The sequence below is a fragment of the Homo sapiens genome, chromosome 11 (assembly GCF_000001405.40).
Source record: "Homo sapiens chromosome 11, GRCh38.p14 Primary Assembly".
NCBI lineage: Eukaryota > Metazoa > Chordata > Mammalia > Primates > Hominidae > Homo > Homo sapiens.
In genome coordinates this window covers 19,802,885-19,830,074 of record NC_000011.10, presented here as the reverse complement: position 1 = coordinate 19,830,074, position 27,190 = coordinate 19,802,885, and the positions used below count along the sequence as shown (strand labels likewise).

The window sequence follows — 27,190 nt, the reverse complement described above, 5'->3', positions numbered from 1 at the left end:
TTTTGTATTTTTAGTAGAGATGAGGCTTCACCATGTTGGCCAGGCTGGTCTCTAATTCCTGGCCTTGTGATCTGCCCACCTCAGCCTCCCAAAGTGCTAGGATTACAGGCGTGAGCCACCGCACCCGGTCCCAGATTTTAAAAGTAATCAAAACCCAAACCTAGATCTTTCCCTTGCTATCTGAATGCCTTTGGATAAGTGACTCTACTTTTCTGGGCTTCAGTTTACTCACCTGTAAAATGAGTACAATAAGGCCTGCTTCAGAAGGTCGATGTGAAGACTCAGAGTGGGACTATATGGAAGTGCCTGTCCTGATCCATGCTGGGGCTCAGGAAGTGAAGGCAATTGGGGAGAAGGGTAATAAAGAGGCGTGCTCTGGAACTGACAGAGTTGCTTTAATCTTAGCTTCTATGCTATCAATTCCCTCTGTGCCCTCTGGCCTAAGTGTTGTCATTTGCAAGATAATGATACCTACATCATTGGTATTATGAAGATGAAATGAGCTCATACATACAAAGGTCACAGAATCTGGCACATGCTAAGTGTTCAGTAAATAAAAGTTAGTAATAAAAAATTTTATTAACAGCTTCGTGAAATGGACATAACAAAATCGGCCACAGCCTCCACCCTGAATCTCCAGGATACAAATGACTCAAGGATTTCTTCCCCTTCTCACAGCCAAATTTCAAGAGTCTGGAATATCCCCTACCTGGAATAACAAAGTATGGCACAGTGTCAAAGAAAAACAAGTCAGAAACCGGCCAGGCTGGTATATAAAGCAAGGCTTCCTTCCCTAACTAGGGGATGCACCACACTGCTCTCTCAAACCCTGGAGGGATTTCCTCAGCCACGTGGGAGGGACCATGAAGTTTACAGTTTAAAGCCACGTGCACCTAAAACATCAGCTGAGTGAGAAGTGAACATCAACAAGGGCACAGCTGAGTGGGATGAGATGCTGTGCCTCAGCTCATCCCTTCTTAGATGATTAAGGTTCTTTAAAATAGACATACTGTCTCTACAACTAGGTTTCTTTGTGAGTTTGCACAACACAGCAAGAAGCCAAGGTTAAACTTATTTCAACAAGTGCACATACACACACACTGCGATTATAGAGCCACGGTGAGGCCACACAAGTATCAGGTACACTCACAAGAACTTCTACAGGATAGAGTGGTTGGAAACGGCTCTGCCAAAGTGAACTTCTCATTCTGAAACAAGAGCTCTTCTCTCAACTTTGATTTACCTACACACCAATGCCAAACGAACTTTCCTAGGGCGCAGCTCTAATCTAATTACCCGTTCAAAAAATCATCAATGGCTCCCCACTTCCCACTGAATTAAAGGCAAACTTGAGCCCAGGAGTTCAAGACCATCCTGGGCAATGTGGTGAAACCCCCTCCCTACAAAAAACACAAAAAATTAGCCGGGTGTGATGGCACGTGCCCATAGTCACAGCTACTGAGGAGGCTGACGTGGGGGGATCACCTGAGCCCTGTAGGTCAAGGCTGCAGTGAGCCGTCATGCATCATTGCACTCCAGCCTGAAAAAGGAATGAAATTCTGAAACATGTTACAACATGAATGAACCTTGAAAACGTAATTCTAAGTGAAATAAGCCAGATACAAAAGGACAATATTGCATGTTTCCACTTACAGAGGTACCTACAAGAATCAAATTCATAGAGACGAAGTAGAATAGGGGTTAAAAGGGTCTGGGCAGAGGGAGGAAAGGGAAGTTTTATGGGTACAGAGTTTTGGTTTGGGATGTTGAAAAAGTTCTGGAGATAAATAATGGTGATGGTTATATACCATTTGTTACATGAATGTACATAATGCCACTAAATTGTATATGTGAAAAATGGTTAAAATGGTAAATTTTATATCTATTTTATACCATCCCCCCCTTAAAAAATTGTTTTTAAGAGTCAAGGTCTCACTCTGTCTCCCAGGCTGGGGTGCAGTGGGGTAATCAAAGCTCACTGCAGCTTCGAACTCAGCCAGCTTCCCTGACTCAAATGATCATCCTGCTTCAGCCTCCCGAGTAGCTGGGACTACAGATGGTGCCATCACGCCCAGCTCATTGTTGATTCCCTCCCCACCCTCCCCTTCCTCCCCTTGGTAGAGACGGGATTCCGCTCTACTACCTAGGCTTGTGAAACTCATAGAACAAAGGATCCTCCCTCCTAGGCCTGGGCGTGGGCTCGCAGAATGCTGGGATTCCCAGATTACAGGCCGGTGCACCACACCAGGAGCAAACACTTCCCACTTTAAAAATTCAGTTTGTGATTGGCTGTCATTCAGTATTATGCTAATTAAGCATGCCTGTTTTTAAACTTCTTAAAACAATTTTTTAAAATTAAAAAAATAATAAAAATAATAAAGGCTAACTCTTCACACTTCAGTCAAGGCAGCCTTATCATCCATCTGTCCCAGAAAGTCCTCCAGCCTTTGAAGGGGAGGCAGCGTGTGTGGAAGAATGCAGCCTTTGGAATCTGAGCTAGTCAAGCTGGCCCTTGGCCCTGGGCAATGTTAGTTTCTACTAATCTTTCTGTTCTTTGGTTTTATCCTCCATAAAACAGGGATTATATCAAACATATTATAAGGCAGCGGCTGGCAAACTGCAACCCGGGCCAATTCTAGCTGACCACCTATTTATGTAAACAAATAGGCGGTCAACAACCTCGGGACAGGTATCAGGACACAGACTCATCCATTTATGGTCTCTGGTTGCTTTCGTGCTACAAAGCAAAGCCGAGCAGTTGTGACCGAGTGACCTGTGGCCCACAAAACCTCAAGTACTGACTACCAGCTCTTCACAGAAAGTCTGCCAGTCTATGTTATAAGGACCAAATGAAATGATACACCTACACATACCACATGCTCAGTAGTAATAATACGATAACCCTCAGGAAAACTGGACACACCCCACACTTCCCTCTCTCTGAACTCAGTCTATCCCCTCTGCCCAGGTGCCTCTGCTGCCTGAGGCCATCTCACCCAGCTTAATTCCAATGCCTGTCCCCCATCAAGTCCCTCTTAATTTCCTGACCCAAACCTCAGCAGCCTGTGATATAGCAGATGTAGAGAACGTGTATGCTGGCACCACCTTTCCACTCCCACTCACCCATCTCTGCACTCCTGGTAGTGCGTCACAGGGGCTGGCCCACCGCAGGAGGCTGGTAAGTGGTCGCCAGGTAGAGCTGAATATGGAGAAAAAGGGCAAATCTTGGGAAACTGATTACACTTGAGACTTACATGATGTGGGCTCTCAGCAAATCCTCCAATCAGAATCTCTTTATTGATTAAAAAGAGCAGGGAGCAGGGAAAATAAATCACTCCATAGCTCAGGCTCATTAATCAGAAACCATTTCACAAGGATCATTAATTATCTGGAGTTTCCTCTCCCTTCCCTCCCTGTCCCCAGCTCTCAACTTTTTGAAGTGAATCAAGAAAACACCTAGATTTATTTTTTAAGTCAGTGTTCATGGGCCATGCTAATCATGGACATAAATTCAGCCCCATCTCCTTCACTTGCTGTTTCATTAGCTCATGCAAGGAAAATCATTCTTCCAAGGGGTACCCTTGAAAAATAAACTTATAATTTCTTTAGTCATCAAAGATAGATTTCATCAGGTCCAGCAATTCAGCAAAAACGGAGCAATGTGCGTTTTGAGTAAGGGCTCAAGATTTTGAGTAAGGGCTTAAAGCAAGCAGGCTTCCTGTCTGAGCCTCAGCTATCCAGAATTGTTTTCTCCAAAGGCTTTCATTCCCTAAAATGATGGAAAATTGAGGGCTGCTGTTGCTTTTTCCCCAGGAGCCCATTGATTCTTCATCCTGGTTTGCCCCCAGGTGGATAGCTGTGAAGTTTCAGTAGAAACTGATTGGACAAAGAACAGCAGGAAAGACCAAAACCACCATCCCATCCCCAATTCCAATTCTAAATCATCAAGTCATTTCACGAGAAAGTCTCTAGGATCCTTTGACACTAGTACCCAAGAATGAGTCCAGCCATCCTCTTGCTCCAATCACTCCATCTTGCAGAGGTACCCCTCTGCCCATCCCTTCTAACCAAAAACTCAGTGCTCCAGAACTGCTCTGTGAGGGAGAGAAGCTGCTGTCAAAGGCTTGACAAGATAAAAGGGGAAGGAAAGCTAAGACAGCTAAACAGTGAATTCATTTTGATTCACTTTATTACCCCTGACAGAATTTTAAGGAGTGCATCATTTGTTTGCTTATAACTCCACATCATTCCACATCAAACAGGCTGAAATCCAAAAGAGAACATTTTGACAGATCAATTCAAGTAAAGAACCTAATCATTAGTTGTAATAACAAAAACTGATAATAATTGTACCATGTTAAACCAAAGGGGATAATAACACTGCTAAGTTTATACTGCAATTAGCCCTCAAATGAAGCCGGGTAGCACTAAAGAACCCAAGAAAAATTCTGCAAAACAACTGCACTGAAAGTGCTAGAATGGAGCCTTAGCTACCAAACTATAAATGCAGATGGATATGCCAGGCAGCCTGATGGATCCAGAGGCAGATGGCATCAGGTTAGCAGCTCCAGGAGAAACAGAGCAAACTGTATTTCTTAGAAGGAAATGCCAGTGTGGAGACTAATGTTTAAAGTAAACCAGTCGTTTAGCATCTGAGGCATTTCCAGTGGATTGATTGTAAGGGGAATGCTACTGTTTGGCCCCAATTCAGGAAGCCTCACTCTAGACTTTGGTAATGTCATCATATAATGCCTTTTTTTTTTTTTTTTTTTTTTTTTTTTTTGAGACAGAGTCTCACTCTGTCTCCCAGGCTGGAGTGCAGGGGTGTGATCTTGGCTCACTGCAACCTCCATCTCCTGGGTTCAAGTGATTCTCCTGCCACAGCCTCCCAAGTAGCTGGGATTAAAGGTGTGCACCACCATGCCCAGCTAATTTTTGTATTTTTGGTAGAGATGGGGTTTCACCATGTTGGCCTGGCTAGTCTCAAACTCCTGGCCTCAAGTGATCGCCCTCCTCAGCCTCCCAAAGTGCTGGGATTACAGGCATGAGCCACCACACCTAGCCAACACAATGTCATTTCTAAGACTGAGCAGTACGTGGTTAAATGGTTTAGTTCTGAATGCTCTGGAGTATAAAAAATGATTTTGCAACAATAGTAGAGTGTTCATTCTGTCCTTGAACACCACAAAGAATGTCACTGCTTATTCAATTGTTCACAATTTTAAGAAAATCGAAATGCACCATTTGTTATCAAGAGCTAAGCTGGTGACACATTCATTCCTGCATCTGCAGCATCTAGCAAGGAGTATGATACCCATCCCCACAGGTATCAACCACAAGTCCACATAACCTTTTAGCTGCATGGGGTGAGGAAACCGAAATTAGCTGGTGGCTTTTTCCCACTTTCCTCTCTCCTTAACGGTTTAATGTATCCTCCTTTTAATGTAGCCCCCACCTTGGGATTAAAAACCACCTCCTTACAATAGTCAAATAGGTGAAATGGTGTCCCCAGCCCTACACACTGGAGAAACAGGCAGAGCACAGAGAAGCAAGTCTTTTGCTCAAGGCTGCACAGCACAACAGGGGTTTCTGCTCTCCGGTTTCTCAGAAAAGTCCGGTTCTGCCCAATGTCCCTGCAGTGCCCCACATGCCCAACCTCTAGGGCAATGACCATCATTCTATCCCCATCCTTGCCATCTTCTGATGTATTACTTGGGACATTTGTGGGCTTTCTGCAACCACAAAATCATAAAGGCAAGTGTCTACAGTCTCAGGTGTAGGTGTGGACCAGGGTTGAACTCTGGCTTTGCCTTATAAGCTAGGTGACCCTTGGGGAGTCATATCCCTTCTGAACATCAGTGTCCTTCTGAACTTGTGCAGTGGTGATATACAGTTGCTTTACAGATTAAATGAGATCATATAAGTGGTTAACACAGTGTCTGGCACATAGTATGTAGTAAATAAACAACCATTATTAATATTCAAATGAATAACACTGAGTTTTGGAGGAATAAGTCATTCTAGATTGCTGAAGGTTTACACTTCTGAGAGCCACACATTTTAAACAATTCCACTGGGATTTTTTTCCAAACAGATTATAATGATCTGATTTTTAATTAACACAATTGCACTTTTTCTTTTCTTTTCTTGTCTTTTTTTTAATACTTTAAGTTCTCAGATATGTGTGTAGAACGTGCAGGTTTGTTACATAGGTATACATGTGCCATGGTGGTTTGCTGCACCCATCAACCCGTCATCTACATTGGGTATTTCTAATGTTATCCTTCCCCTAGCCCCCGAGTCCCCGACAGGCCCCGGCCCCAGGGACGTCACTATAAATGATAGTGTTTTGATGTTTACAAGGATGTGTCCTTAGGACCTACTGAGTTGCTCGACCTTCCTTAAGAGACCCCAGAGTCTTTAGAAACTGTATAAGCTGGGCACAGTGGCTCACACCTGTAATCCCAGCACTTTGGGAGGCTGAAGCAGTCAGATTGCTTGAGCCCAGGAGTTTAAGACCAACCTAGGCAACATGGTGAAACCCTGTCTCTACAAAAATAAGAAATAGGCTGGGCACGGTGGCTCACGCCTGTAAATCCAACACTTTGGGAGGCCAAGGTAGGCAGATCACCTGAGGTCAGGAGGTTGAGAACAGCCTGGCCAACATGGTGAAACCCCTTCTCTACTAAAAATACAAAAATTAGCCAGGCATGGTGGTAGGCACCCATAATCCCAGCTACTTGGGAGGCTGAGGCAGGAGAATCACTTGAACCTGGGAGGCAGTGGTTACAGTGAGCCAAGAACACGCCATTGCACTCCAGCCTGAGCGACAAAAGTGAAAATGCATCTCAAAATAAAATAAATTAGCCAGGTGTGGTAGCATGTGCCTGTGGTTCCAGCTACTCAAGAGGCTGAGGCAGGAGGATTGTTTGAGCCCAGGAGGTCGAGGCTACAGTGACCCCTGATCACCACTGCACTCAGCTTGAGTAACAGAGCGAGACCCTGTCTCAAACAAAACTCTGTATAAAGTAAGAGCACATACTGTTTAAGCAAGAGCCATGCTGGAACTTTTCCCTCAAGGAAAACCCATAAGTAGAAGGATTTTGTGACACGCCTTTGAGCTGCCCCAGGGTACAGCAGGGAAGGCTCTTTGGTTCTCAGCTGATCTTGAGCCAGGTAAGACTCCTAGAAAGCTGGGTTCCAGGAGCACTGAGATGTGAATGGGTTCTCTATTCCCCATCTGAGCATATGAGGAATTGTATTGCCAGCCTTTGCTCTTGACATATGTTTTGTAATATGGCTAACATGAACATTTATACCAAAGGGTATAAATCCCTGTCTGGACCCAGAAGAAGGCAGCAGGGGGAGGGGAAGAGCCATCTGCTGGTTTCTTCTCTTTTTATCTGCAGTAACCTACTTGCCTGCACAACCACCAAACAAAGATAAACCCTAATACCTGCCCACCTAGAAGCCTTTGTTTCAAAGGGATACTCACACAGAGCAAGTGACCAGCAAGAGTGGCACAGCTTCTCATTAATTAGGATTTTCATCTTTTTCCACATCCTGGGACTATCCCTACTCCTAACTTTGCCTCTGAATATCAAGTTAAGTAGCTTAGAGCTGCATGCGTGCCTTGGTGCATGAAGAAAACACTGCCTGAGCATCTACCTGTGCAGGGGGCAATGCTTGCTCCAGTCTTATGTAGGATAGTAACTACCATCTGCCAAATGTCTACGGTGAAATCATTAAGAGAACACTTCTTAGAGTCAGATAATTTAGTTCCAAACATGCTCCAAGCATTTCCTGATAGTTTTAGTAACTTGCCCAGAATTACCCTATCTGAGACTCAGTTGCCTCATCTGTAAAATGGATCACCCATTCTGGTTACTGTGAGATTGAAATGAGATAATCTACCAATGCCTGACACACGGCAAGGGCTCAACAGGTTAGCTGTGATTATAATTACCATGAAGATGATGCCATGCAACGTGAACACTTTACAAACAAGGGATTCCTTCAGTTTCCAACCCACCTCTGTGGGAGATATTATTTTCCCCATCTTACAGATGAGGAAACTGAGGCTCAAAGAGGCAAAGTGACTTTCCCAATGTTATGTGACAAGTACGCGGGGTTTGAAAGCAATAACTGGCTCCTAATGATGCCACACTGTTACTGAGGGGCCCACACAGAAACCACTACCACAGAAGGTCAAGTGCTACAGCAGTGCGGAAAAAGCAGAGAGAGAGGGAAAGGCATATTGCATAATACCCATCACAGTGTTTCCCCTGACCCTGGGAACAGGGCTGGCCACTTGTCACTCAGGACTAACAGACCCAAGAGGGGAGCTGACACTTTCCCATGTCACCAAAGCACAAAGCAAACATAGTTTCACAACAATCTCACTGTAGCAAAAACAAAAATGCCAATATAACATGAGTTACCATTGCAGGACTGTATCCAAGTAGGGAAACACTCAGGGGCAAAGTCCCCCAGTTCTTCCAGTCTGTGGTGTGCAAGGCTGATCTGGGACCCCATGCAGCAGCAGACACTGGGTCATGCCTGTGAATGGCACCACAGCCACACAATGGTGACATTGTCTGATGGGAACATGAACAAGCCACAGGTGGGTGTACACAGCACCTCCAGAGGTTTTGAAACTATGCCTTTAAAAAAAATAAACCAGGCTGGTGAACGTGCTGGGAGAAACAGGTGATATTTTAAGGATGAGGGTGTAGGTGCCTGCTTCATCCACACCTCAGGATAACCCACATTCAGTGCCTACGAGCTTCCTCTTTTTTTTTTTTTTTTTTTTTGAGACAGAGTCTCGCTCTGTCGCCCAGGCTGGAGTGCAGTGGCGCAATCTCGGCTCACTGCAAGCTCCGCCTCCCGGGTTCACACCATTCTCCTGCCTCAGCCTCCCAAGTAGCTGGGACTACAGGTGCCTGCCACCACGCCTGGGTAATTTTTTATATTTTTAGTAGAGACGGGGTTTCACCGTGTTAGCCAGGATGGTCTCAATCTTCTGACCTCGTGATTTGCCCGCCTCGGCCTCCCAAAGTGCTGGGATTACAGGCGTGAGCCACTGCGCCCGGCCCTCGATCTTCCTCTCAATGCCCCGTTTCATACTTCATATAATAGAAAGTACTTTCCTATTCATTTCCTCATTTGATCACTATCCCCTATGTGCTAGGAAGTCTGTGCTTCTGTCTACTGTGTGCCAGGTGTTTTGTACCTGTGATCTCATCTACAATCTCTCACTCACTGGAGTAACAGCTCCAATACGCCAGGACCAAACATTTAGAGCTGCCCTTGTCACATAGTAGGTGTTCACTAAACAGTTGTTGAATGGATGATCAGCCCCATTTTACATACTGGAAAACAGGCTCCAAGAGGTTAAGGTGCACAGGATCACATAGCTAATAAAAGGTGAAGCTCCCTCTGACTCAAGCTGACCAGCCTCACGGCTACCACCTCTCACCACGGCAAAATATGTCTCCAGCTCTCCCTGTAAACTCCCTGGAAAATCAAATAAGTCCAAGTGAGGCTGAAAACTGGAATTCTTACTGGTCACTTCAGAACAAAATTGAGTCCCTTTCTACAGCACTTCCTCCCACTCTCTCCAACCTTAGAACCCAGATCTGAACAACTTTTAACCACAATCTCTACTAGCTGCCAGAAAGCCAAATGTCAGAGCCCTGCTAGGAATTTTTCAAGTGTTTTTTCTCCCTGTGTTCATTAGTTACTGACTAATCAGATGCATTCTCCTTCCAAGTGCTTCCTCTGGTATGATGGCAATCAGGCCCTTGCAGAAAGGCTTGGGAGCAGCTGCAAGCACACTTATTGACAGCAGACATCAATCAGTGCCACTGCCTGACAGGGCAGCCACACCTAAGTGGGTAGTGAGAACCTGGGCCACTACAAGGCCTCTCTCTGGTCTGGTCACAAACTGACCTTTTAAGTCGTAGCCTCCATCCAGTTGTTCAAACTTCCATAGCTCCCCTCACCTGCAGACTGCAGACAGAGGGACTGTCAGCTGTCCTCATCCAGCCAAACACCTCAGCTCCACCTTCTAGGCACAGGCTCCCTAGGACGTCTGGCCTTATCATGCCCAGCCAAGACCTTGGAGTCTTGATTGACGTCTGACAGGTTGCTTAACATCTCAGGATTGTTGAGGGGATAGAATGAGAGATTAGATCCGCAGAACTCTGCACATGTTTAGACACAGACTACACTGAGGCTTTGTGGCTTTGGGCAATCCACCACTCTCTAAGCCTCAGTTTCCACATTTGTAAAATGGGATAATACTCTATTATCTGTTGTAAAGACTAATGTGTCTATTGTGGGGACTCAGTGTTTGTAAAGTGCTTAGCACATAGGTGGTGCCTTTACTGTTAGTTTCCTTTCATTATTTCCGTCATCTCCATGTCCCTAAAAAATGCCTTCAAGTGCATCAGCTGGTGGCATCCCTCACACCACAGTTCCATGCTACTCTAACCCTCAGTCCCTATGGGCAGGTTCTCTGGTCCCATGTGCCTCCCTGGTCCCCTCCACTTAGCAGAACTCCCCCTTCTCCTAGAAGCCAACCCTGCCTGCCAGGCTTCTGTGTGAACTGGGAGTTCAGAGAAGGCAATTAAAACAACCCTGTGGGACAGGCTCCCCAGCCTCTGTGCCTTTTCACACGCTGCCCTCTCTGCCTAGGGTGCCCTTCCCCCACCACCTAGGAAATGCCCACTTGAAATCTGAAAAGCAAAGTAAATGTCAGTCCCCGTAAAGCCATTCCCAACCTGCTTGCCTACTCCTAACAGAATTACTCATTTTTTCTTCTCACCTCTGAAAGCACTTTGCATCTGCCTTTATCCTGGCTGTTGTAACTACTCACATCTCTCTCAATCAGGAGCTTCTATAGAGTAGAGAACAAGTTTTATACATATTTAAAACACAAGCACAACACCTGACTCACTACAGGAGCGTGATAAACAAGCACTCATTGATTTACTGGTGGGTGGGTAGATGGATGAAGGGAAGAAAGTAAAAATGGATGGAGGAAGGGAGGGAGGAAGATCTGGGTAAACAGACTGGTGAATGTTCAGATGGATGGAAGCGTGGATGAGTGGGTGGAAAAAAAGAGATGAATGATTAAATGGTGGGGGATGCACAAATAGACAGATGGACTAATGGGTGGGACAGATGAATAAGTATGTTCCCCTTCACTGCCTAGATTATAAAGTCCATAAAACCAACATATTTCATGTAGCTGTTAGACCAGTCATAGCAAAAGGCCCACAGCAGGCACTGGTAAGTAACACTGCCATGAGACAATTTCAGTAGCTTGGTAGTAGGACCCACCCGACGGTGGATGCTAAAGTGCTATTTTCAAAGATACAAACACACATACAGTGGTATGCCAGGGCAGGCATGGACTGGCTCAAGAGAGTTGGTTGTAACATTTTCAGTAAATTTTGGAGCTGATTGTTAACTACAGCCACTATTTTAATAATTAAATTATATAAACTTAAAATTATATTTTTAAAGTGATAGTAAATATTTAAAACTCATCACTTTCTAATTATTTTACTGTATTTTACTATTGTTTATGGTCATGAGATTATTTACACCTATTATATCTGTATGAGGGAAATACTATATAATAATGCACTACTGTACATCTCTTCCCAGCTCAGAGTGGGTAAATTAAAATCAGTCTTGGTAGAAGGATTTACACCATGGTAATTGGCAAGTACTACCTATCAGGCTTTTCTCCTTGGAGAGCCAACTGTTAAACGTCACTGAGTATAGACAGGTGAGATGGAGTAAAAAAAAAAAAAAAAAAAAAAAAAAAAAAATCACTAAATACACACAGGTGGGACAGGAAAAAAACATGAGTTATTATTTTCCCTCCTTACCCCTACCCCTCCCCCAAACTGGAAATCTCTTTGTTTTGTAGAATGATGGGTAAGAGTATGCAAATTTAGGGGGCAGTAGACTGTGCTAAAATGCTTTGCATGAAAAAAAGGGAATTCAGGGAGAGAGGTAAGATCTGGAGCTGGGAAGCCTGTGGGGTGCAAAGAGGCTATCTGGGTGGGCAAGAAGGCTTGGAGATGAGATCGAGGGGCCTTTAGGGAGACTGAATACGATCCGAACTCTCCCCTTGGAGATCTCCAGTGCAATCTGTATTCTTACTGGTGCTTTCTAGGGCAAGTGGAATCCTTCTCAGAAAGGACAAGAGGTGCCAAGTTCCGCTTCCTAGTAGGTGAAGGGACAGGAGCAAGTGAGCTGGAGCCAAGGTTCAGTTACTCCCCATTAAGAGAGTGACCCGGCTTTATTTACAGGGCCAAGTGGGTAGAGCATGAGCTCAAGTTTTCCCTTTGCAGGACCTCTCAGCGTGCTTGTTACAGAGCACCTGCTCAAGGACTGCTGGCTCAAAGGCCCTCTTGGCCACCCCCTCCCTCCTTTCACATGAGTGTCTTTGGTTTTGGCACTGGTCTCCCAAACACTGACCATCCTCAATTTGCCCAGGCCCTCCCTCCCCCAACTCGGACCTCATCACCCACTGAGGCGTCCCAAAAGCCCCGCTCCAGGTGTTCCCCCATTCCCAGACACTGGACCTAACTGTCTCTGCCTGACTTGGGGATCAAAACTCACCTGACCCACATTCCATTCCATCAGGGCTTACTAGGTCCCAGGCACACAGCTCTGGCAGAGAAAGGTGAGTCACAGTTCCCAAAAAACATTTACATTTCCAATGGGATCCTCAATGCTTTAACCCCAGGAGACTGATGTGAGGCTATATAATCACTCTGGAAAGCCTGGGAGATTTTTTTTAATGGTAAAGGATTTTTGTTTTGTTGTTTTGTTTTTGTTTTCTTAGGGCCATTCAGACCAGGGCAGGTGAGTGGCTATATAAGGTGTACATTGCTTATTAAAATTCCCAACACCAAAGGCAAACTGTGTGCACTCGTGGTGATTATTTGAGGATGTTTCTTACCCAAGAAACCTGAGCAGTGGGGTGGTGGGTAGTTTAAGGATTTCCCCTGGGAGATGAGGGGTCAGGTTTCCTGAAAGATTACACAGCCGACTGATTTATCTGGGAGAAGTAGATCCAGAGAGGGCTCCAGGTGGAGTCCCTTTTTCTGCATAAGGGGCTGTGACCGAAGGCACAGAGGGGAAAAAAAAAGGTGGTGGGAGCCTCCTCTGGTTTCACCTGAAGAGGGAGGCGGAAGGGCCTGAAAATTAGATTTTGTTTATAAATAATAGATATTATAGGTATATTTACATATTTTTACATAATGATGCCAACCACAAACAATGGACCATAAAGCACTGACCTCAGAATGATCAATTGCAAAATGTTTAAACCCTGGAAGCTTTTGCTTAGGAGGGCGGATATTCTGTGTTGATGTTATTCTATAGCCATAAACTTCCCTGAATTTTCTGCTAATGTATCCAAGTCCAGGCAAGTCACTTAAACTCTTCAAATGCAGCTTCTTCATCTGTGAAGTGGAGATCATAATAGCATCTACTGCACCAACTTAGATGAAGAATTGAATGAGGAAAAAATGTGAAGCACCTATGAGCACACTTGCAGAAGTACTCAGGGAGGGGTAACGGACAGAGGGGTGAAGGAAGGTACAGAGGGACTAGAGAAGATCTGACATTCTCATAAATGGCCATGGCCCTCCAGCCCGTTGGGCAGAGAGGCACAGAACCTGGCAAAGACTGTTGTGTCACTTGTGGGAAAGTTGTGTAGCAAAGGCTTTAAAAAACTCTGGAAGGCAGGCAATTCCCAGCAGTGGCTGGCGCTGCCCGGCCCTAGGAATGCGCTTGCCTGCTCCTTCCCCATTTGGGAGCCTCATTCCTTTCTCGGCAACTCCATGGCCAAGAGACTTGGCCACAGTGGAAATGACCGTTGTGCCCCGGGCCCTTCTCCAGCCCAGATGTCAGAGCTCTCAGGCCTGAGGGCATCTCGGGTTTTTCATGTTTATTATTTTTATTATACTAGGCGTTTACTACGAAGACTACCAAACACCAAGCTGGCACCTAGGAAAGAAGGGGTGTCTCCTCTACCCAGGGGACAACCTGGCCCAGAGCACAAAAGAACAATTTGCACAAAGATACTATTTATTCTCCAAAGTCCTGGAAGAAGGCCCTGATTGATTCATCTCAAGAAGAATAATAAAGTCCTAACAACAGTGCTGTCTCTGCCTCCTGTCTGCAGTGCTTACCATTTATAAAGTTCTTTTGTAAATACAATCCAATCTGAGCCTCACCACAATCCTGGGAAACATGGGCGGTGGCAGCTTGCATTCTCCCCATTGCATGGATGAAGCCAGTGAGATACCAGCTGGACAAGGTTAGCATCTGTCCAGCTAACAGACCAGGTATTCCAACTCAGTCCAGTCATCTTTATGCCACAAGGCAGTTACAAAAATCAGGCCAGGTCATTCAGATGACCACGATGAAGAAGAAGTTCTAGGATGGAACTGGAAGGAGCCTTGTGTTCCTATGAAGATGGGAATTTGAATTCTATGTCTAATCACCCAGGTCCAGCATGGGATGGGAATTCCCATGCAGGCATATAAGATGTGTTCATCCAACTTCAGAACCACATACAATAGCTGCCTCCTATTGAAATGTCTATTTTTAACATTCTATCTCAAAAGAAATCTCTTCCACAGGGCAGTGAGCCTAGACCCCAGGAGTTAAAAATAATAATGAGAACTCAGGGACATCCCCATTAATTGTGCTTGGCCTGGGTAGTGCTACACATCTAGAGCAAACGACACACATGTCCAATATCCCAGCAGCCTTCCACCTTTAATGAGCCACACACCCAGAGGATGAAGGAACAAGAGGATATCAAATACTCAGAGGACTCAGTAAAGTGGCTCACATGGAAAATGACCTCAAAACTGTGTGAAAACGTATCTTCATGCAGGGGTTTTTTTCCCTACACCTTTCATACCCACATCGTTCTTATCTTTGTACATAAAGGGCCACACAGAATATCTGCTCACCAAAGCAAATGCTTTGCGGGTTTAAACGTTTTTATAATAGATCACTCCAAGGTCAGCTGTATAGAGTAAGCATTAAGCAGATAAGAGAAGCACACTCTTTCCTAGAAAATAAGCACCTGCCAAGCCACCTAATAATGCTAATGTTGCCTAGGAAGTTGGGTTAGATAGGTGGGGGAGAAGGATAAGTTTTAGGAGGGGAGGGTAAACTACAGCATTTTTACAAGAAGAATAGGCTAAGAAGGTTCTCTCTCTGTCATAAAGCCATTGCCTCTGACCACATCAAAGTGACCATTCTACCTGGGCATGGTGGCTCAAGTCTGGAGTCCCAGCTGCTCCAGAAGGCTGAGGCAGGAGGATTGCTTAAGCTCAGGAGTTCAAGACCAGCCTGGGCAACATAGTGAGATCCACTCTCTCAAAACAAACAAACAAAAAAGTGGCCATTCTGATTGTAAAACCAGAGCGCCACACAGCTGCAGGCACCAGGACTGCCATTAGCCCCTGAGTTACAGTAACTGTCTGAAGGTTAAGGAGGCATAAAGGAATAAAAATGCATCTTGCCTTTTTGCTCTGTGAATGCATGCTCCCAAATGGATTCTCGGCAGCAAGTGGAAAGCCATGGGTACAGATGCCTTCCAGCTTAAATGATACCATTCAGGTCACCCTGGCCAGGGGAGGGAGAGGGCAGTGGGCCCTTCCCGGGACATCCATGGGTCTCACTGAACAGGAAATTGCTTCCAGTTTCCCCCAAGCAAGTCCCTCCTTCAATGAAGCCCTCAGGAGTACTCCCTGGCATCTCCTCCAACTCTTTTGCACCTGCTGAGGCCCACAATTAAGAAAACAAGCGAAACCTGCCACACCTGTTGACATCCAGGACCTTCCCAATTTCAGCTTCCTCAGCTTGGCCTTTGGTTTATGCAGTTGTATTTTCTCAGGCCACCAACAATGTCCAGACAGATCTTTCTCTACCTGCTCTAAAAATACACCACCCAGCCCTCACCCTGGGCGGACATATGAAACAAAAAAGCAGCACAAAGGTGGCAGTTAGCTCTTCTAGCTTTCCACAGATGAAAGTCCTGCTTGGAGGGCTCGTGGTCTCTGCTCTGCATAGAAAATAAATTGAAACCATCTCTAAACACAAGTCCAATTCAAATAAACTTCATTGTCTCTCCCCAGAGACCCTGCCAACATCCCTGGAGGTTGCTTACCACTTTATAATGGTCACAGGAATCCCGACTTTGACCCCGAGCGGGAACCCATAAGTTGATGCTTACAGGCATGGCTCAACCCACAGCAGCAGCGCAGTCCTCAGCAGTCAACGTCCCATGCCCTCTCTGGGAGTGTCTAGTTCAAAGCACTGTGGAAGCGTGTGAAGCCTCCAAGGTTAATTTTAGCTGAAGTCACGCACCCGCTGTGGTCAGATTTTCTTACACAGGCCACCTCCTGAATAGCGGCAGCTTATGTTACCCCAACCCACTGGGCGGCCCTCTGGCCCCCAGCCCTGACTCCAAACTGCTGCAATTCTTCCATCTCCATCTCCCCCATCAAATTCTCACCCTCCAAAATAATCCAACTCTCGGTGCTTACATTTTCATGACACACTCAGGGGAAATAAATCACTGTTTCTTTGGCTGCCCCAGGCAAACAAACCTGGGGAATCATTCCCCCACTTGGCCCACGCTTGGCAAAAGCTGGGCATGAAGCTCTAGGCCAAGGGACTGTGCAAACTTCACTTGAACCAGGCAGTGGCTGCTGAGGCCACACAAGAGCAAAACCTTACATGCTTTCCAACTCCTCCAGTGGGGTTTTGACAATCATCCTCAGAGCTTTTAGTCGCATGGTGCCTCCATGTGCCTCATCTTTTGCTTGACTCTGTTGAAAAGAAAAAACAACAGTGCCTGCCCTTACATTTCTCTAAAAGGCCAGTGCAGGAGAGGAATCTACATGTTTCATCGAAAGGTCTCACTCCTGCAAAGAAGAGTTTGAGCCTTCATTCAACTTTGTAGAGGTTATGAAAAGGCTACCGAGACATTGGCATGGGTGCCGGATTCCAGATTCCAACAAGGGAATGAGTATAGGCTTCAGGTGGAAGGTTATTAGAAGAAGTAAATTTCAGGCCTTGCCTCCTGCCAAGCTCAGAGATAGGGGCCTGGCAACTTCATGATGCAATTTGTGCAAGAGTTGCTTGCTGGACTGAATTCTGGTCTCCTCTTAAGATTGCCTTTTTTCATTGTGGACAGGACTATAGAAAGGCGATGGAAAAACTAAGCAAATCCAGAGTGGCCTGCTATGATCGCAGACAAATCCCACAGCCTGTAACCTTGAAGACAAAACTCTGGTATGCAGTGTTTAAATCAGGTGTTAAGGCCACATCTAGAAACTGCTCCAAGTAGGATGAAATGCAATATCTTTGCTCCACCTTAGGTCTACCTGTTACACTACCAAGGCATCTTAGGTCTTTCCTTCATATGACTCATTACTCTTGTAATTATTTAATTCATTCAGGTATTTATTGAGCACATACTCTGGTACTCTGATAATCTTAGAGGATTCAACAGTGTCTAAGGAAGTGCTCTCATGAGGCTTTATTCTACTGAGGATGAGAGGTAGGAGAGAGAGACAAAATGGTAATAAAAAATAAGCAAACTAATATTAGAGAATAATAAATGCTATGAAGATGCATTAGAGAGTGAATGGCCAGGAGTGGAGGGATAATGTGGTTGGGAAATCAAGAATGGCCTCTCTAAGCAGGTAATATTTGATTAGAGACCCAACTGATAAGAAGAGAGCAACCATGCAAAGGCTCAGGGGGTGGTTCTCCCAGACCAGCAGCATTAGCATGGCCTGGGAACTCATCATAAATGCAGATTATCAGGCCCCACTCCAGGCCTATTGAATCAGAAATTGTGGGGGGTGGCAGCTTAGCCGTGCAATTTGTGCAAGAGTTGCTTGCTGGACTGAATTCTGGTCTGCTCTTGAGATTGCCTTTTTTCAATGTGGACAGGACCATGGAAAGGCGATGGAAAAAATAATCAGCAGACTGGGTTTGAACAAGCATTCTGGTGGTCCTCATGCATACTACAGTCTGGGAACCACTAAGCCATAGGAAGACCATTCCAGGCAAAGGATTCTAAAGACAACGCGTATCTGTTTTGCTCACCACTGCAGTTCTCAGCCACTAGACCAGGGCATAGCACATAGTAGGAATTGAATAAATATTTTTTTTGACTGCTTACCAAGCTTAAGTACCATCCCCCTAGAATCCAGATAAAAATCACAAAAAGATAAAAATCACAAAAGGCTATCTGCATAAAACTTTAGCAAAAGCACGCAAAAAGGAAGAGGAGGCAGTCATTTACAATTCCAGGTGGCCAGTGGAAAGCTTTCTGTCATGCCAGAAACTGCCAGCCACTAAGAGCAACTCTTCCCAATCTAATAAACCTTGGCACCACAAGGTTGGCAATTAGATTTCCTGTAAAAGGCTAAATGTGGTAACCTTCTGCTTCCTGATTTTGAAACTCAGTAAGAAAGGCATTAGTGTGTGGCAGCTGGGATAATCATTTAATTGATCTTTTCCACCCATAGAAGCCTCCCTTCCCTGCTCCAACCCACTGACTTGTAAATCAATGTCACCTTCATTGTGAGCATGAAAAGGCAGGAAAAAACACCCCCCTTCCCAAACCAAATGGGAGTCAATTTCCTAATGAGGCCTGGGTGACACTCTAAATGGGTGCTGCCATTTCTCCCCCTCTGACCTCCTCCTTGGCCACCCACACAGCTCCATCCAGTCCAGTAGGAGAGCCCATGACATGCAAAGCAGAAGACAAGAGGCTTCCTACCAGCAGGAACTCCACAACAGAAAGGGTGTGGATTCTGATGTCAGCCGGACCTGATTCAAATCCCTGAACTGGATAATATTTAGAAAGCAACTAGACAGCCGTTTAGCATGTAGGAAGAGTTCGATAAATCACACACATTTTTCTCTTCCTCCTCAGTGTTGCTGTGTGTCATTCCACCCATTCATTCAACAAATATTTAATAAATACCTACAATGCACCCTTTCTGAGGACAGAATGATGAGCAAAACTGACACAGAGCCTATTGTCTTGAGGGAGTTGACAGATATTAATCAAATAAGGATGTCAAATAAAGATATTATAAAAAGATGCCAAAGGGAAACGGTGACAAAAGGTACAAAGGAGAAATATATGGCATTGTGACAGCCTATATTGGGAGAGTTCAATCTGTGTAGAGCTTATTAAAATACAGATGCCAAAATCCCAGGTGGGCATCTACCTCAACCTCAGGCCATAAGGCCCAGGCCCAGGTGTGTTTATTAACAAGCTTCACAGGATGTTCTCACTGTTGGAGTGAAAGCTTACAGATGAACAAAGATGGAAGGCTAGGATGAGCCATGTGGTAATGGATTAGAATTGAAGACTCTATAGAAACTAAAAACTGCTTTCAGTTTATAAACTATAGTATAGTTTATCAGTATAAATTACATACTGATCTATATAGCATGTCAGCGTAAAGGAATCTAGATAGGATATTCGTAGATACGTGTACATATCCTTGTTCTTTCAGCTGAAAAGTTCTAAAAATAACAACAGCCCAGTAGCAACAAGCAGATCTAGCCCCTGATCTTGGTTTCAATAGCATTCTCCAACCAAAAGAACCAGGGATCCTTGGAGAAATGATTCTTGGACTGGGGCAGGAAGAATTTAAAATAAGCCTGGAGCACAGTATAGTGCCAAAATGTAGGCATATATCCCCACTCCAAAACACAATGATGGAGTATGTCAAAGTGACACAGGAGCCAACTGAAAGAGCTCCCAATGGCCAAAGCTGACCAAGCTCAAAATAATTTGAGCAACAAAATAAGGTAGTATTGGATTATAAGTCAAAGTGTGAAATAATTGATACTGCCACAAAGAAATGATTGACTAAATAAATAGAAGAGAAAAATCTTCCATGTAAATAGAATTTCAAATAAAGTATGTAGATGTTCTGCTCTCAAGGTTAAGTGTGGGCTGCACAAAGAGTAAAACATGGAAAAAAGGGAAAGAGTAACTTTACAGTGAAGATACCGGCCAAACACTATCTCAGCCAGGTGATCGAGGTTAACATAAACATTAGCAAGTCATGTTGATAGCATGACCCTGATAGGATGGGATGAAAAATGTCACTTTACCTCTGTGTTCTTCCTCTCCAAAACCTACAACTTCAGTCTAATTAGGGGAAAAGCATCAGACAAATCCCAATTGGGGGGCAATAGCGATGATGTCCATTCTACAAAATATCTAACTATAACTTTTCAAAACCATTAGAAGCATCAAAAACAAGGCAAGTCTGAGAAGCTGTCAAGCCCAGAGAAGTCTAAGGATGCATGAGAGCTAAATGAAATGTAGTATCCTGGATGGGATCCTGAAACAGATAAAGGTCATTAGGTAAAAACTAAGGAAATCAGAATAGAGTATGGACTTTAGTTGATAATATTTCAGTGTGGGTTCATGGGTTCACTAACTAATATGTGAATATTAGTTGTTAATAATGGGTGGGGTATATGGCAACTTTCTGTACTATCAAATTTTCTGTAAAATTAAATCTAGTCTTAAAGTTTATTTTTTAAAAAAGAACAATTACAAAGCTCCATAGTTGACTATGGTGTGCAACCAGGTTTGAAAACCCAATTCTTAATCCTCCATGGATAACATGTGGATTTAGCCATTTCAAGGGCAGAATGCTAGCCTGATGTTTGATTTGAGATCAGAAAATTTCAGAAACTCTCATGTGTGTGTAAACACACAAACAACATACATGGGTATGTGAATATAAAGTTTATACCCTAGTTATTATGCACAAGAAATTCTTCCTGCATGCATGAATTTCCTAGAATACTCATTAGTAACTGTTCAGGATAAAAGGACTTAACAAAAAAGAAGCCATTCAAAACTCCAGGTTTTGCTTTGATCCATTCAAAAGGGCCATGAAAGAACTATTTGTGCCCAAACAATAAGTATTGGGAATCTCCAGTTAACAACCCTGAGCTCTAACTCAAAAGCTCCCATTTGTTTTTAGATAAAGATTCTGCATTTGGTTCTTCCTCACCATTAAAAGAAGGACTCAAAAATGCCAGAGGTTCCCTCAAGTTTACTTGATGTAAGACATTGTAATTAATAATCAATAAACTAGAAAACATCAGATCCTAAGAACACCAGTAGCAAAAAAATGTCTCCAAAATGAATTAAATACTCAATAACCCATGAAGTGAAGATTTATTTCTAAGGGGAAAAAAATATCCCCCATATGACTGGAAACATAAGCCAGGTTTTACCAGCAATAGGTGGCAGCATTTCTATTCTCTGGGCCACATTCTACATAATTGTACCAACTATTAATAGACAATAAAAAGACAATTGTTTTTTAAGGTCCTACCATAACTCTTGTTTTCCACTAGCAGATAAACTTGCTATAAATCTCTTTTGCCAGAGATAACAAACTCACATCTCTTCTTTTTTTAATAAATAAAAGAAAAAATAAAGTGACAAATTAATTCCTCCAAACTTAATAAAACTAATTTAATCATTTTGTGCAGACCATCTGCTTCATGGATGCAAATCTAACTGCATTTTCTACTGCCTGATAACTTGCTTAATTCAGTTAGCTCTTGTGACCCCGCTTTTGTGCTCAGTTCTCAATGGGACCTTTCCTTGGTGGCTTCTGACAGCTCCTAGTCAGGAGCTGACTGAGCTAGAGGAGTGTTCCCCCATGGAGTGGTGATGCAACCCCTCTCCAGCTGGTGCCCCTCAGTGAATGAAGTTTTAAAGAGGGCAGCTAAGATGGCTGGAGTTTTAGTGGAACTGAGGCTGGATAATGGGTACCACTGAGCACTTCCTATGTGCCACACACTAAGTCCTTTATATGTGTTTGCCACATTTAATCCTCACAATCTTAGACTTAGTTTCTGTGACTAGTCCTGTTTTTAAGAGAGGTTAAAACACTTGCTTAAGGACGCATAGCCAGGTCTCAATACCAAGCTCATCTCACCTGACAGCCACCTGCCACTATGAAGGTAATTCAGCATGACAGAGTGGCCACTCCTAAGTTGGCTTAAGCTGAGGCACCAATACCACAGTTAGTGGTTACCAAAGTAAGCAAGCACAGGACAAATATGCAAAATGCAGAATTTCAAGGAATATCAAAGAGTCAGTTTCACGACTTTTCCTGCTGTATCAGACGGAGGATAGAAAAACAGGTGAACGTGTAGAGAGAGAATTTTTTGAGAGGAGGTTATCATTGGAGAACACTGCTATGAGCACATCCTTTGCTCACCCAATCAAACCTAGTGGGTGGGTGAGAACTTCAGTGGGGTCACTGGGGAGCCTGCAGTGGATATCCCTGCAGTTAGGGATGCTGTGGCCTGGGGCCTGACTCCTGCCCTGAGAATCTAGAGGGAGAGAGAAGAGCATGGCTGATGGTTCAGTGGTAGCACCAAGGGATGGTTCCAGGCTGGGATTGGCCTGCAGCCCCCACCATTGGGGCAAGGAATTCAAATGTCTCATTGGAGAGAGTGTGCACATAGGTGCATTTTGGGTTCTAAAAAGGGACCCTAAATGTGCCCCAAAAAAGAAAGGCCCAGCTTTTAGCAGAACAGGAAACCAGCTCAAGAAGGCAGCATCTAAATAAGCATCTTTGTCTTCTGTGTAGCTCCCTGGGGGTGGAGCAGGAAGGTGAGGGTGGAGGAGGCCGGCTGTTTTCACTCTCCTGCTTCAGGGTTCTGACCAGAATTCCAGTTTGGAGCTTTGGTTTGTATTGTGGAAGGGATATTCTAATTTGTCATGTGAAACTATCTTTGCAAATTATCATGACCATGGGATTTTCTATGAATGAACAGAAAGGCCATGGGTTGCTAACGCATTTACCCCCATGGCAGGAAAACTCCACGGGCTTTGTCCGCAATGCACACATCACATTTGCCCCACATGCTGGTTACATGACTAGTCTCAATTCTAGCTGTGCATCAGAGTTCCTGGGGGAGCTTTTAAGAAACACAGATGCCTGGGCCTCATATTTGAAGTGTGCGAGTCAGTAGGTTTGGATGCCCATTTTTCTTTTCCCTTCAAGGGTCTCAAGAGGATTCTGATGCCCAGGCAGGGTTAGCTATCATATCACACTCTACATAGAGATATATAGATAATTATCTCCGAAAGAGGAAAGAGGGGCATTTCACTGACACCCAAGTTACTTCTTGATATTTAGAAAATCTATTATATGGTGAGTGGGACAGCGAGGCTTAAGTGTTCCCCAAAAAGGAGGGTCTCTAGCATTGCTTTTTCTAATTCACCAAAGCATCAGCATACAAAGCCTCTATGAGAATACCAAAAGAAATTCTCCATCCCCTCTTTAGAAATGAATCTCCACTTTAAAATAAAACAACTGAAATTCAGAGACACGATCTGGCCAAGGTCTAGTAGTTAACAAGAAGCAAAGCTGACATTCGACCAAGGTTTTCTGCTTTCAAAGACCAGGTTATCAATCATCATACCTTCTTCTTTCTAAGAATCAACACTGATATGAGAGATCAAGAGGTTCCATCTCCCTGGCCCCAGGCCTGATCATGTTCCAAATTTTAAGTTGAAGAAATGCAGGTACTTGAGATGAAAGGAATCTGATGACAACAGAAGTGACTGATGCAGGATAATTTCCTACACAGAACTGCAATGTCAAGGCCACTAAGAAATAGTTATCACTTACAATGTAATATCCCTTTGATGGAGAAACAGAAGTCAGGAAAGGAATATTTTCCAATGAAATGTTCACTGGAGAATTCAACCATCTATAAAATACATTAGGTTACAAAGCCAGAAGGAATCTTGCCTGACATTTTAGGGCCTTGTTTATTTTCATATAAGAGTGTGGGAAAGAAACTCTATAAAGATGGAACACTGGCTACCACACTAAAGCAAATTCAGCATGAATGAGCTTTAAAAATTGCATGTTCAATCAACTACTTAACTCCAAGTGACTGAGCTATCAGGGGACAAAATAAATAAATAAAAACCTCTGTAGTGAAATTCCAGGTTCAGAAATCAGACACGCATGGTTTCATGGAAATTATCCAGGCTTTGATTCTAGGCAGAAGTCGGTTTGAATTCTGGCTCTGTCACTTATGAACTGACCTGGTGACTCTGGGATAGCAGTTTAACCTTTTGACCCTCAGTGTTCTCTTCTGTGAAATGGAGATGTGAATGCTCTGGTTTGGAAGGATGTTGCGGGGATGAGAAGTACGTTTGGTAAAGTCCCAGCAGCCACAACACAAGCGTTCCTCAAGATTATCTTTTGAAGAACCTAGATAAACATGGTTAGATATTTCAAATAAATGGAAAGAGACAGCCTGATAAGGAAAGGCAGCTCACAGCTCATGAAATTTTAATGTCAGTGACAGTTCAGGTTTGGCCCTAGTCAATAGGAACCATAAATAGCTGTCACCTAATGGCCATGTCCTCTTGAAAATGGGTTATTCGTCTGAGTCCATCTCCCAGAGGACAGCTGCAAATACCATCAATACTGGCACTAAGCAACAGCCTTATTTATAGCCAAGGGACAGATTCCAAAGATAGAAGAAGCCATGGACGCCAAACCCCCATCTCAAAATTCTCATTCCTAGAGGACTGAGACGTGAGGCTGGAGAGTAGGTCTTAGAGGAATGCCTGTGACAGTGGAGAAACTGTTAATAAAAGTGACAAAAACTAAAAATAAGAAGAGGTCTGAAAAGAAAGAAGCCATGAGAGAAGAAAATGTAAGTGGTGCTACATATGCCTGGCTTTGCTGAATCAGCCATCACCCATCATTAAGACTGCCTCATCTCTCAGCTGACACTTAATCTTTAAAAATTGGAAGACCTGTCAGAATCTGTCAGCATGCATCCAGATTCAAATGAGGGCCAGAAAGTCTTCCTTTGGCCACCCCTGCCACGAAACCATTCCCAAGCACCTACAGAACCAAGTCCTACTTCCTTAACTTGACTTTCAAGAACTGCCACTTAAGCAGGTGCCCTGATTTCCCACTCCTCCCTTTCACTTCAGCCCAATTCAACTACTGGTGATTCCTCATAAAGACCCACCTCTTTCCAGCCTCTGGGCCTTTACTCCTGCAGTGGGAATGCACAGTCTTCATAAACTGGGATCCTACGGGTTTCTCAAAAGCACTGGGTTAGAATGCCACTCTTCACCCCCAAGTTTTCCTTGGCTTTTTCATCCAGTTTCTTACATGTCTTATCCCCTATTTCACATGTTAAATTCTCTAACAGCAGGATCTATGATCATTATCTCCATATCCCCTTGTAAGTTTCATGTCAACTCAAGTGCCAATAAATGTCTATCAGATGGATGGATGGATAAATAGATGGATGGAAGGACAGACAGAAGACTGGACAGATTTGATGGATTACAAAGAAACCACCAAGGGAACACATTATCCACTATGTCATTGTCATTCAACACAGCCAGGAGATGGAATGTCCTGGTTATCACAATATGCTGATTAACAGAATGCTCCTCCCACAAGACCATCCACAGATTCAACCACTGATAACTGACCTTCTCAAGATTAAAATAAGATCCACCCTGCATTTCAAATGGACTAAAAAAGACTGTCTCTTGTTGATGATTCATTCAGCACTTAGATACCTTGCAAGACTTGGGGTTGGGAACTGTAATTGCCACTGCACTGAGGTATGTGAGAGGGATAGCTTACAAAGAGTACTGATTAAAATAATCCTAAATAACTAGACATACGTTTGGTGACGTTGTAATTGAAAATGAATAATTTTGTCCATATTCCCTTCTTCAATGGAGACTTATAAAACGAGTATGAACATTATCTATTTTTAACCAGATGACCCTACAAATCTGCAGAGACCTGAAGGACACACACACATACACACACACCTGCTCTCTTTAGTGCATGAGGTCTGGCTCTTCTCACTGACCTAATGAGTAGACCTGGATTCAGAAAGTAAGTAGTAAAAGTCATTAAGCAAATTGGCCACAGATCACCTTATACCATATCACTTTTGTCTCACCTTTAATCCTAGCCACACCCCTTTCAAGCTCTACCCTACCCTTGCCAATTGTTCCTAGACAAGGGCCATGTTTGTTTGACCACTTTCCAATTCGATAAGCCACAGATGGGGCGAGGCAGAGGAAACACACGTCAAACAAGTCAGATTGCTATTACTTTTAACTTGCCTTTTTCAAGCTCTCAGGTAGAAGAACTGGTTCTGCTGCATGCAGAATTTTTCCATTGCAAAAGCAGGGAGAAGAATGAGGGGCTTCCCTGGACTATACATTATCCTCTACCATTGGGGGAATCCCCCAAGTGCTCATTTAACAGTTTCCTCTCACAAGCATCTTCCCTGCCCCAGGGCATTCTGCTCTATCTCAATTAATTATATGCAGCATCTCAATGAAGCCTCACAATATCCTTTGAGGCAGGGATGACTAATTCCATTTTGCAGATGAAGACACTGACACTCTACAGAGGTAAGTAACTTGCCTAAGCCACAGACAGGATTTGAACACATATCTGAAGCTCTGCTCCCACCATTTCAGTGGGAAAGTGGAAGGATGTAGCATTTCATGCTGCCAAATGCTTTCTTGGCCCCCAAGGTAACCTCTGCAGTGTGAGGCGTTCTCTGCTAAAGGGCATTAAAGGGTGAGCAGATACTCACCAGAGGGAGTATCTCCCTGCCTGCATTTTCAAGACAAAGCTGATGCGCTCTGTGTGATCAGAGACTCCACCTGAGTTCAACAGATAAACTGGTGATTCTGTTGTTTAGTTTTGATATACAGCACCAGCACAACCTGCCCACCTGGGAATATTTTGGTGCCAAGAATGAACAGAAGGGAATACATCGCAGAAATATTAACCTTGGCAGCCTCCTCCCACAGCAAACCACTGGTTGAACTTTAATGAAATTTTGCACAAGAGCAGAAACATCTGTATTGCTGGTAAAAATAAACCCCAGCCTGGAACACACAACCGTCTCTGTGCAAGAACATGACAAACCTGGAAAGGAATGGAAAGGAGGCCTCTGTGATCAAAATGGCTGTTTATAACAGAGAGGAAGCAGCTGCTCCCCTCTGTCTGTTTTTCCTAGTTAGGGTTAATGGCTT

The 27,190-nt window shown here is 44.0% G+C and overlaps 1 protein-coding gene across 46 annotated transcripts in view, besides 2 other annotated features; it reads right to left on the bottom strand.

Moving 5' to 3' along the window:
- The window catches only part of NAV2 (neuron navigator 2), a 776,366-nt gene that overhangs the window by 291,527 nt on the left and 457,649 nt on the right, over positions 1-27,190 (bottom strand). The window contains exon 1 of one of the 46 annotated variants that reach the window (XM_047427836.1): positions 3,124-11,811. The exons of the other annotated variants lie outside the window; for them this stretch is intronic. The gene's annotated coding sequence lies outside the window, so the exon portion shown is untranslated. Of the gene's footprint in view, positions 1-3,123; positions 11,812-27,190 lie in introns of those variants that run through there. 46 annotated transcript variants of the gene reach the window in all.
- Positions 7,948-8,448: an enhancer, noted in NCBI's record as "H3K27ac hESC enhancer chr11:19843173-19843673 (GRCh37/hg19 assembly coordinates)". NCBI's record gives its function as "activates a minimal SCP1, AML or CMV promoter by ChIP-STARR-seq in primed H9 embryonic stem cells {active_cell/tissue: H9 hESC(primed)}" and the evidence as "EXISTENCE:reporter gene assay evidence [ECO:0000049][PMID:30033119]".
- Positions 8,449-8,949: an enhancer, noted in NCBI's record as "H3K27ac hESC enhancer chr11:19842672-19843172 (GRCh37/hg19 assembly coordinates)". NCBI's record gives its function as "activates a minimal SCP1, AML or CMV promoter by ChIP-STARR-seq in primed H9 embryonic stem cells {active_cell/tissue: H9 hESC(primed)}" and the evidence as "EXISTENCE:reporter gene assay evidence [ECO:0000049][PMID:30033119]".